The sequence below is a fragment of the Homo sapiens genome, chromosome 11 (assembly GCF_000001405.40).
Source record: "Homo sapiens chromosome 11, GRCh38.p14 Primary Assembly".
In the NCBI taxonomy this organism is placed as follows: domain Eukaryota; kingdom Metazoa; phylum Chordata; class Mammalia; order Primates; family Hominidae; genus Homo; species Homo sapiens.
The window spans coordinates 74,657,778-74,669,899 of NC_000011.10; the positions used below are offsets into that span (position 1 = coordinate 74,657,778).

Here is a 12,122-nt window from a genome sequence, read left to right on the forward strand (position 1 = left end):
CATCCTTTTCTTTCAGATTGAAGAACTTCCTTTAGCATTTCTTGTAAGACAGGTCTGGTGTTGATGAAATCCTTCAGCTTTGAAAGTCTTTATTTCTCCTTCATGTTTGAAGGATGTTTTCACCAGATATACTATTCTAGGGTAAAAGTTTTTTTCCCTTGGGACTTTAAATATGTCATGCCACCCTCTCCTGGCTTGTAAGGTTTATTAGATGCCTCAAGGTAGTCAAGTTAAATCTATTTGGTGTTCTATCATCTTGTACTTGGGTATTTTTATTAGTTCATTTTCATGCTGCTGATAAAGACATACCTGAAACTGGGAACAAAAAGAGGTTTAATTGGACTTAGAGTTCCACATGGCTGAGAAGGCCTCAGAATCATGGCAGGAGGTGAAAGGCACTTCTTACATGGCAGCAGCAAGAGAAAAATGAGGAAGCAAAAGCAGAAACCCCTGATAAACACATCAGATCTTGTGAGACTTATTATCACAAAAATAGCACAGGAAAGACTGGCCCCCATGATTCAATTACCTCCCCCGGGGTCCCTCCCACAATATGTGGGAATTCTGGGAGATAAAATTCAAGTTGAGATTTGGGTGGGGACACAGCCAAACAGTATCATTCTGCTCCTGGCCCCTCCAAATCTCATGTTCTCACATTTCAGAACCAATCATGCCTTCCCAACAGTCCCCCAAAGTCTTAACTCATCTCAGCATTCACCTAAAAGTTCACAGTCCAAAGTCTCATCTGAGACAAGCCAAGTCCCTTCCACCTATGAGCCTATAAAATCAAAAGCAAGCTAGTTACTTCCTAGATACAGTGGGGATACAGGTATTGGGTAAATACAGCCATTCCAAATGGGAGAAATTCACAAAAACAAAGGGGTTACAGGGTTCTTGCAAGTCCGAAATCCAGCAGGGCAGTCAAATTTTAAAGCTACAAAATGATCTCCTTTGACTCCAGGTCTCACATCCAGCTCACCCTGATGCAAAAGGTGGGTTCCCATGGTCTTGGGCAGCTCCACCCCTGTGGCTTTGCAGGGTACAGCCTCTCTCCTGGCTGCTTTCATGGGCTGGCATTGAGTGTCTGTGGCTTTTCCAGGTGCACGGTGCAAGCTGCCAGTGGATCTACCATTCTGGGGTCTAGAGGATGGTAGTCCTCTTCTCACAGCTCCACTAGGCAGTGCCCCAGTAGGGATCCTATGTGGGGGCTCCAACCTCACACTTCCCTTCTGTACTGCCCTAGCAGAGGTTTTCCATGAGGGCCCCACTCCTGCAGCAAACTTTTGTCTGGGCATCCAGGCATTTCCATACATCTTCTGAAATCTAGGCAGAGGTTCCCAAACCCCAGTTCTTGACTCCTGTGCACCCGCAGGCTCAACACCACATGGAAGCTGCCAAGGCTTGGGGCGTCCACCCTCTGAAGCCACAGCCTGAGCTGTACATTGGCCCCTTTCAGCCACAGCTAGAGCAGCTGGGACACAGGGCACCAAGTCAATAGGCTGCACACAGCACGGGGACCCTGGGCCTGACCTATGAAACCACTTTTTCCTCCTGGGCCTCTGGGCCTGTGATGGGAGGGGCTGCCGTAAAGGTCTCTGACATGACCTAGAGACATTTTCCCCATGGTCTTGGGGATTAATGCTAGACTCCTTACTACTTTTGCAAATTTCTGCAGCCAGCTTGAATTTCTCCCCAGTAGATGAGTTTTCCTTTTCTATCACATTGTCAGGCTGCAAATTTTCCAAAGTTTTATGCTGTTTCGCTTTTAAAACTGAATGCTTTTAACAGCACCCAAGTCCCCTCTTGAATGCTTTGCTGCTTAGAAATTTCTTCTGCCAGATACCCTAAATAATCTCTCTCAAGTTCAAAGCTCCACAGATCTCTAGGGCACAGGCAAAATGCCACCAGTCTCTTTGCCAAAACATAACAAGAGTCACCTTTGCTCCAGTTCCCAACAAGTTCCTTATCTCCATCTGAGACTACCTCAGCCTGAACCTTATTGTTCATATCACTATCAGCATTTTCATCAAAGCCATTCAACAAGTCTTGGGAAGTTCCAAACTTTTCCACATTTTTCTGTCTTCTTCTGAGCCCTCCAAACTGTTCTAACCTCTGCCGTTACCGAGTTCCAAACTCACTTCCACAGTTTTGGGTATCTTTTCAGCAATGCCCCACTCTACTGGTACCAATTTACTATATTAGTCCATTTTCACACTGCTGACAAAGACATACCCGAGACTGGGAAGAAAAAGAGGTTTAATTGGACTTACAGTTCCACATGGTTGGGGAGGCCTCAGAATCATGGTAGGAGGCAAAAGGCACTTCTTACATGGCAGCAGCAAGAGAAAAATGAGGAGGAAGCAAAACCAGAAACCCCTGATAAACCCATCAGATCTCGTGAGACTTACTCACTATCATGAGAATAGCACAGGAAAGACTGGCCCCCATGATTAAATTATCTCCTCCTGGGTCCCTCTCACAACAGGTGGGAATTCTGGGAGATACAATTCAAGTTGAGATTTGGGTGGGGATATAGCCAAACCGTATCAGTATTGATATCTTTCTCTAGGTTTTGGAAGTTCTCTGTTATTATCCGTTTGAATAAACTTTCTACTATTATACTATCTCTTTCTCTACCTCCTCTTTAAGGTCAATAACTCTTAGATTTGCCCTTTTGAGCCTGTTGTCTAGATCTTGTAGGCATGCCTCATTCTTTATTATTATTTTTTCTTTTGTCTCCTGATATGGTTTGGATTTGTGTCCCTGCCCAAATCTCATGTTGAATTGTACTCCCCAGTGTTGGAGGAGGGGCCTGGTAGGAGATGATTGTATCATGGTGGTGGATTTCCACCTTGCTGTTGTCATGATAGTGAGTGAGTTCTCATGAGATCTGGTTGTTTAAAAGTGGGTAGCACCTCCCCCTGTGCACTCTTCCTCCTTCTCTGGCCAGGTAAGGTGTGCCGGCTTCCTCTTCACCTTCCGCCATGATTGTAAGTTTCCTGAGGCCTCCCCAGCCATGCTTTCTGTACAGGCTGTTGAACTGAGTCAATGAAACCTTTTTCTTTATAAATTACATAGTCTCAGGTAGTTCTTTATAGCAATGTAAAAACAGGCTAATACATCTCCTCTGACTGTGTTTTTTTCAAGTAGCCTGTCTTCAAGCTCACTAATTCTTTCTTCTGCTTGGTCAATTCTACTATTAAGGGATTCTGATGCATTCTTCAGTATGCCAATTGCATTTTTCAACTCCAGAATTTCTGCTTGATTCTTTTCAATATTTCAATCCCTTTGTTAAATTTATCTGATAGAATTATGTATTCCTTCTCTGTGTTATCTTGAATTTCTTTGACTTTCCTCAAAACAGCTTTGAATTTTCTGTCTGAAAGGTTATATGTCTCTGTTTCTCCAGGATTGGTCCCTGGCACTTTATTTAGTTCATTTGATAATGTCATGTTTTCCTGGATGTCTTGATGCTTGTGGATGTTTGTCAGTGTCTAGGCATTGAAGAGTTAAGTATTCATTGTAGTCATCACAGTCTGGCCTTGTTTGTACCTGTCTTTGGGAAGGCTTTTCAGGTATTCGAAGGGACTTCAGTGTTGAATCTTGAATGTTGTAATCTGAGCTGTACTGCATTAGGGGGAACCCCAAGCCCAGTAACACTATGATTTAGACTCGTAGAGTCTTCGGTGGTCTTAGATAAGACCTGGAAGAACTCTCTGGATTACCAGGTGGAGACTCTTGTTCTCTTCCCTTACTTTCTCCCAGTCTTTCACTCTCTGTGCTGAGCCGCCTGGAGCTGGAGTGGGGTGACACAAACACCCCTGTGGCCACCCACTAGGACTGGGCTGGGTTAGGCCTGAAGCCAGCACAGTGCTGGGTCTTACCCAAGACCCCGTTAGCCTCTACCTAGCTTTCACCTATGTTCACTCAAGGCCCTAGAGTTCCACAATCAGCAGGTAGTGAAGCCAGCCAGGTTTGTGTCCTTTTCTTCAGGGCAGCAAGTTCTCTTAGGCCCCAGGTGGGTCCAGAGATGCTGTCTGGGAGCCAGGGACTGGAGTAAAAAACCTTATAAATCTACCTTGTGCTCTATTCTACTGTGGTTAAGCTGAACTCATGCTACGAGACAAAGTCCTTTCTACTCTTCCCTTCCCTTTCCACAGGCCGAGGAGCCTCTCCCAATGGCCACCACCACCACAGGCCCATGGGGAGTACTGCCAGTCTCACTGATGTTCACTTACAGCCCAAGGGCTCTTCTGTCAGCTTATGGTGAATGCTGCCAGGCCTGGGACTCGCCCTTCAGAGCAGTGGGCTCCTCTCTGGCCCAGGGCAGGTCCAGAAATACCTTCCAAGAGCCAAGGCCTGGAATTGTGGATCCCAAGAGCCCGTTTGGTACTGTACCCCACTGTGGGCAAGCTGGTTACTTAAGTGTAAGACAAAGTCCCCTTTACTTTTCCCTCTTCTTTTCTCAAGCGGGAGTCTCTCACCATGGCCATCACAGCTGGGAATGTGCTGGGTCTCACCTGAAGCCAGCATGTCTCAGAGTCTCACCAAGGCCCATGGCGTACTACCTGGTTATTGCTGCTCATTATTCAGAGCCCAAGGGCTCTTTAATCAGCAGGTGATGAATCCTGCCTGACCTGGCCCCTTCTCTTCAAGGGAATAGGTTTTCTTCTGGACCAGGGTGTGTCTAGAAATATCTGGGAGCTAGGGCCTGGAACGGGGGCCTCAAAACTCTTCCCACTGCCCTATCCTGTCGTGCCTGAGCTGGTATCCAAAATGCAAATCAAAATTCTTTTTACCCTTCCCTCTCCTCAAGCAGAAGGAAGCAGTCACTTTCATTGCTGAGAACTGTGCTGCTTGGAGTTGGAGGAGGAGTGGCACAAGCACTCCATTAGCCAACCCAGCTGGTGTCTCACTAGGTCACATGCCCCCCAGGTCCACAAGCTCCAAGCCCAGCACAACACTAAGACTTGCCTAGGAGTTGCAGTCCTTGTGGCACAGACTGCCTTTCAAGTTTACTTAGGACCCCAGAACACTTTAGCCCACAGTGCTGAGGCTTCCCTAAACTCAGGTTCTGACTGCTGGGATAGGCGATTCCTCTCTGGCTATGGCTGGTCTAAGTGCTCCTTCCATGGACACACATCTGCTGAGTTCAGCCCAGTTTTGCTGAGTTCAAAGTCCCACAGTTGCTGCACTCTCCCTCCCCCAACCACACAGATTCTCTGTACCAAGGGCACTGCAAGGGGATGAGGGAGGGGTGGCATTGGTGATTCAAGACTATAATTTCGAAGTTAAAACCAGGTACTGTGATTGCTTACCTGATTTTTGGTTCCTATAAAGGTGCTTTTCTTATGTAAATAGTTGTTAAAATTTGGTGTTCCTGTGGGGAGGATGATCACTGGAAGCTTCTATTCAGCTATCTTACTCTGTCTCTGATGAGGGAAATTAAAGAAACTAAATTAATGGAGTAATATACCACATTTGTAGATTGGAAGAACGCAATATTGTTAACTTGTCAGTTCTCTCCAAATGGATCAATAGGTTCAAAGCAATGCCAATCAAATTTCTAGTAGGCTTTTTTGTAGAAATTGGTAAGTTGAAGTTCTAAAATTTGCATGGAAATGGAAAAGATGTAGTATAAAGCAGTCTTGTAATAAGACAGAGGTGAAGAACTTACATTTGATTTCTAGACTTACAGTAGTGCCACAGTAGTCAAGACAGTGTGGTGTTGACATAAAGATAGAAAAAATAGATCAATGGGACAGAATAGTTAGTCTGTAAATAGTGGTTGATTTTCATCCAAGGAGGAAAAGCAATTCAATGTGGAAAGAAAAGTCTGTTCAACAAACGATGCTGGAACAACTGGCTATTAAAATGTTTTTAGAAGAAAATATATAGAAGAACATTTTCATCATCTTTGGATAGTCAAACTTTTTTAGGACCCAGAAAGCAATAACCATAAAAGAAACATCAATAAAATGGAATTCATCAAAATTTAAACCTTCTGCTAAGCAAAAGACACCATTAAGAAATAAGTAGGAAAACCATAGAATGTGAGTTAGTTATCACCATGCATATATCTCTATCTCTCTATGTCTATATATTTGACAAAAGACTTTTATCCAGTGTATATAAAAAACTTATACAGCTCAATATTAAGAAGACCCAATTAAAATCTAATTTTTAAAAAATGGGCAAAAAATAAGAACCGGCACTGAATAAAGGAAGATATACCAATGGCCAATAAGCACATGAAAATGTGTTTTAATATTATTATTCAGCAAAATGTAAATGAAAATGACATTGAGATATCACTACATGCCCATTAGAATGGCTAAAATCAAACGGTGGCAACAGCTTAAGTGGTAAGATTGTAGAATGTAAGCAAAAGTCTCATACGTTGCTGGTAGGAGTGACACAACCACTTTGAAAATTGGTCTGGAACTTTCTCATAAAGTTACCATGCATCTACCAAATGACCCAGCAATTATACTGTAAATATTTACCCAAGAAAATGAAAACATACATCCATACAAAGATTTGTACACTAATGTTCATAGCAGCTTTATTCTAAAACTGGAAACAACCCAAATATCTATCAACAGGTGAATGGATGAATAAATTGTGGTATATTCATATAATGGAGTACAGCTCAGCAATAAAAAGTATAAATTCTACCAAACACTTAGAGAAGATTTAATACCAAATTCTTCACAAACTCTTCCAAAAATTAGAAGAGGAGAGAACATTTCCCAACTTACTCTATGAGGTCAGTATTACTCTGACACCAAAACCAGACAAAGACATCATAAGAAAACTACAGACTAATATTCCTAATGAATATGGATGCAGAAATCCTCAAAAAAAAATTACGAAGATGAATCCAGTGACATATAAAAAGGATTTTGCACCATAAGCAAGAGGGATTTATCCTAGGAATTTAAGGTTGGTTTAATATCTGAAAAATCAATTAATATAATAAACCTTATCAATAGAATAAAGGACAAAAACCACACAATCATCTCAGTAGAGTCAGAAAGAGCTGGGTGTGGTGGCTCACGCCTGTAATCCCAACACTTTGAGAGGCCTAGGTGGGCAGATCCCTTGAGGTCAGGAGTTCGAGACCAGCCTGGCCAACATGCTGAAACTCTGTCTCTACTAAAAATACAAAACTTAGCCAGACATGGTAGCACATGCCTGTAATCCCAGCTATTTGGGAGGCTGAGGCAGGAGAATTGCTTGATCCCAGGAGACAGAGGTTGCAGTGAGCTGAGACCGCACCACTGCACTCCAGCCTGGTCAACAGAGTGAGACTCCATCTCAAAAAATAAAAATAAAAATAAAATAAATAAATAAATAATAAAATAAAAATAAATAAATAAAAATAAAAATTAGCTTGGCATGGGGCTGCATGCCTGTAGTCCCAGCTGCCTGGCAGGATGAGGCATGAAAATGAAAATCACTTGAACCCAGGAAGCGGAGGTTGCAGTGAGCCAAGATTGTGCCACTGCACCCCAGCCTAGGCAACAGAGCAAGACTCTGTCTCAAAAAAAAAAAAAATGAAATTAATAGAGCCAGAAGGAGCATTTGACAAAATCTAGCACCCTTTTATAATTTTTTTTTTTTTTTTTTTTTTTGAGACAGAGTCTTGCTCTGTCACCCAGGCTGGATGGAGTACAGTGGCACGATGTCGACTCACTGCAACCTCCACCTCCCAGGTTCAAGCAAGTCTCTTGCCTCAGCCTCCAGAGTAGCTGCAATTACAGGCATGCGCTACCACACCCGGCTAATTTTTGTATTTTTTAGTGGAGGGGGTTTTGCCATGCTGGCCAGGCTGGTCTCAAATTCTTGACCTCAGGTGATCCGCCTACCTTGGCCTCTCAAAGCACTGGGATTACAGGCATGAGCCACCATGCCTGGCCCCTTTCATAATTTTTAAAAAACACTAAACAAAACTAGAAATAGAAGGAAACTTCCTCTACCTCATAAAGGGTATCAACAAAAACCCACAGCTAACATCATACTTAATGGTGAAAGACTGAAAACTTACCCTTAGGATCAAAAATAAGACAAGGAAGTCTGCTCTCACCGCTTATATTCAACATTGTACTGGAGGCTCTAGCCAGGCAATTAGGCAGGAAAAAGAACAAAACGGATTCATTTTAGAAAGGAAGAAGTACAACTATTTCTGTATTCAGATGACATGATCTTCTATATAGAAAATCCTAAGGAATCCACTAAAAAACCTATTAAACCCAATATGTTAAGTTCAACAAGGCTTTAGGATACAAGCCCAATGTACAAACATCAATTATATTTCTACAAGCTAGAAATAATCTGAAAATGAAATTAGAAAACAATTGCATTTACAATGGTATCAAAAAGTTTAAAAGTACTCAGGAATACATACAACGAAGTGCAAAGCTTATATAAATTCTGAAATCTACAAAGCATTGTTTAAAGGGTGCAGTGGTTCACACCTCTAATCCCAGCTTCCTGGGATGCCTTTCCCATCTTGTTTGTCAGGAAATATCTTCTCATCTTTTAAAAAGCCATTTGAAGGCCAGACGCAGTGGCTCACGCCTGTAATCCCAGCACTTTGGGAGGCCGAGGCAGGTGGATCACCTGAGGTCAGGAGTTCGAGACCAGCCTGGCCAACATGGTGAAACCCTGTCTCTACTAAAAATACAAAAATTAGCTGTGTGTGGTGGCGGGCGCCTGTAATCCCAGGTACTTGGGAGGCTGAGGCCGGAGAATCACCTGAACCCAGGAAGTGGAGAGAGAGAGAGAGAGAGAAAGAGGACCTAAATAAATGGAAACACTTCATGTGCTCATGAATCAAAAGACTTAGTAGTATTCTTAAGATGGCAATACTCCCTAAATTGATCTACAGATTTAGTGCAATCTCTTATCAAAATCCCAGCTGGATTTTTTTTTCCCCAGAAATTGACAAGCTGACCCTAAAACTCATATGCAAATGCAAGGGACCAAGAACAGTCAAGACAATCTTGAAAAAGAAGAACAAAAGTGGAGAAATCCTTCTTGATTTCAAAACTTACTACAAAACCACAGTAATCAAGACAGGCTGGTTATAGCATAACAATAGGTATCTAGATCAGTGAAACAATTGATAGTCCAGAATTAAAACTTACATGTATGAGCAATTGATGTTTAAAGTTGCTAAAAAAAAAAAAAAAAAAATCAATGGGACACCTGGAGCATCAATGGGGGAAAGAATAGTCTTTCCAACAAATGATACTGGGACAACTGGATATCCACATGCACAGGAATAAAGTTAGGCCCCTTTCTTATACCATGCATAGAAATTAATGGGCTAGGTGAGGGAGGAATGGAGAGTTGTCCAGTTGTCCAGTAGGCATAGAGTTTCAGTTTTGCAAGATTAAAAGTTCTAGAGATTGGTTACACAACAATGCAAATGTTCTTAACACTACTGAACTGTATACTTAACAATTAAGGGCCCGGCGTGGTGGCTCACGCCTGTAATCCCAGCACTTTGGGAGGCCGAGGCGGGCAGATCACAAGGTCAGGAGATCGAGACCATCCTGGCTAACACAGTGAAACCCCGTCTCTACTAAAAATACAAAAAAAAATTAGCCAGGCATGGTGGCAGGCGCCTGTAGTCCCAGCTGGAGGCTGAGGCAGAATGGTGTGAACCCGGGGGGCGGAGCTTGCAGTGAGCCGAGATCGCGCCACTGCACTCCAACCTGGGCGACAGAGTGAGACTCCGTCTCAAAAAAAAGGTAAATTTTATGTCATGAATATTTTACTGCAATTTAAAAATTTTAAATAAAATTTAAAAATTTAGCTAAAAATGGACCATAGTCCTGAATGTAAAAGCTAAGACTATAAAACTCTTAGAAGAAAGCAGGGGTAAATCTTTGTGACCTTGGGTTTGGAAAACCTTTCTTAGACACAACACCAAAGCATAAGCAACAAAAGATAAATTGGACTTCAAAGGACACTCTCAAAAAACGAAAAGACAACCCACAGAAAGGGCGAAAATATTTGCAAATCATTTTTCTGACAAGAGAATTATATCCAGAATCTATAAAGAACATTTAAAACTCAATAGCGAAAGGACAACCCAACTGAAAAATTGGCAAAGGGTCTGAAAAGACATTTCTTCAAAGAATATATACAAATGACCAACAAACATCAAAACATCAACGTCGTTAGTCATTAGGGAAAACATTAGTCATTAGGGAAATGTAAATCAAAATCTCAATGAGAAATAACTTTACACCCACTAGAATTGCTGTAAACAAAAAGAGACAATAGCAAGTGTTAATGTGGATGTGGATAAATTTGGAACCTTCATCCACAGCTGGTGGGAATATAAAATGGTGCAGGCACTTTGGGACACTTTGGCAGTTCCTCAAAATGTTAAATAGAGTTACCCTATGACCCAGAAATTTCATTGCTATATATGTACCCAAAAGCAGTAAAACATACATTCATACAAAATCTTGTACATAAATGTTCATAGCAGCATCGTTCTGATAGCCAAAAAAATGGAAACAAGCCATATGTCTATAAGGTGATGAATGGATAAATGCAATATGATATATCATTAGAGTGGAATACTGTCCAGCCCTAAAAGGAATGAAATATTGATATATACCATTACATGGATGAACCTTGAAACATTATGCTAACTGAAAGAAGCCAGACACAAAAGCCTACATATCACGTAGCAAGGGGACCCAGAATAGACTGGAAAGGTATAGCATACAATCAGTATTTGCTGGATGAATAAATGTATTAAGTAAAATACCCAGTACAGGGCCAACTGGATTTAGAAGGTGAAGGAAAAATAAGGCTAAGGTACTACTGAGCTTTCTTAAGCTGGGTGAGTAAGGGGTGGGTGGGAACATTAAAGAGGCCCGGAGTAGCTAGGAGGGAGAATGGGGTTAGGGGGTATAATGGGAGAAAAGGGAAGATATATAGAGTTTTCCTTTCTGTTGTGTTTTTTTTACAGTGGTGCTGGACATGCAGTCCCACTCACTAGACATTTTGGAGCATTACGTGGAAATGCCCATCCAGCGGTTGGAGAGGTAGGGTAGGATCTGAAGATCTCAAGCCTCGGAAGCACAGATTTAGGAGTCACTGACTTAGAGGTGGTAGTTTCAAGTGACGTGATGGTTAAGTTCACCAAGAGAAAAAGTTTAGAAAGAAAAAGAGCTGAGCCTTCTGCCCTATTTTTTAGAAGAGGGTTTCTGAGAGCCTGGGTATTCAAATGATAAGATGGGTGTGTGGTGCAGGGACAAGACTTCAGTCAGAGGACCCAGGGTCTCTGCTTTAGCACCATCTTGCTGTGTGACGTTGGGCAGCTGACCTTACTATCAGTGCCTCAGTTTCCTCCCCTGTAACCAGGGACAATAATGCCAGCCCTCTCTCCCTCCCAAAATTATTGCATGGATCAAAAGGGAGAATGCACAAGAAAGTGCTTTGTAAACCACTCAAAAGACTCATCAAATGTAAGGGATTATTATAATTGCAGTGGGAGATGCAGGAGGCCAATAAAATGGATTTGGTTGCAGTAAGCACAGGGGTTACTTTCTGTTTCTTTAAAAAAAAGAAAAACCAGCAGCCGCAAGTACTGCCAGGTGCACGGCGTAGTTTTTCCAACTCTGAGAAGCAAATAACAGAGAGGGGCCAACTGGCTCATCCCAGGAGGCCTGTCTTCACCAATTGAATCTGAAATCACCACCAGCAGGCCCTGTCCTGGCGGGATGGGACCCAGGGAGTACAGGGCCAACTGAGGCCGTCCACATGGCCAGAGACCTGGGCCCTTCGCCCCTGCGGCTTGGAACTTCCATCAGGCCCTGCCCAACCAGATGTTCTCCTTAGAGCCCCAGGTGGCCCATGAATGGTGCTACCCGGCCCCCAAGCCACGTTCAGGAGCATCACCTCAGGGTTAGGCAGGGAAGAGACCATGGCTTTATGGCAAAATTGGCCAGGCCAAGTTTCTACGGCTCCCCAGGTGGCCGGCCTCATTAGTGTTGAGGACCACATTGGGCCTGCCAGAACCGCAGGACAAAGTCCAGTGCAGAAGGCTTGGGGAAACTGCTTCCAGTTCTTTCCAGGCCCAGAGACACGTC

The 12,122-nt window shown here is 42.9% G+C and overlaps 1 protein-coding gene across 1 annotated transcript in view; it reads left to right on the forward strand.

The window, feature by feature from the left end:
• POLD3 (DNA polymerase delta 3, accessory subunit) overlaps nt 1–11,564 on the forward strand; it is a 76,760-nt gene extending 65,196 nt beyond the window's left edge. The window contains exon 12 of the mRNA XM_005273716.1: nt 11,000–11,564. Coding sequence (XP_005273773.1) covers nt 11,000–11,079 — 80 coding nt within the window. The 3' untranslated portion in view covers nt 11,080–11,564. The remainder of the gene's footprint in view (nt 1–10,999) is intronic.
• Nucleotides 11,565–12,122: the final 558 nt, after the last annotated feature.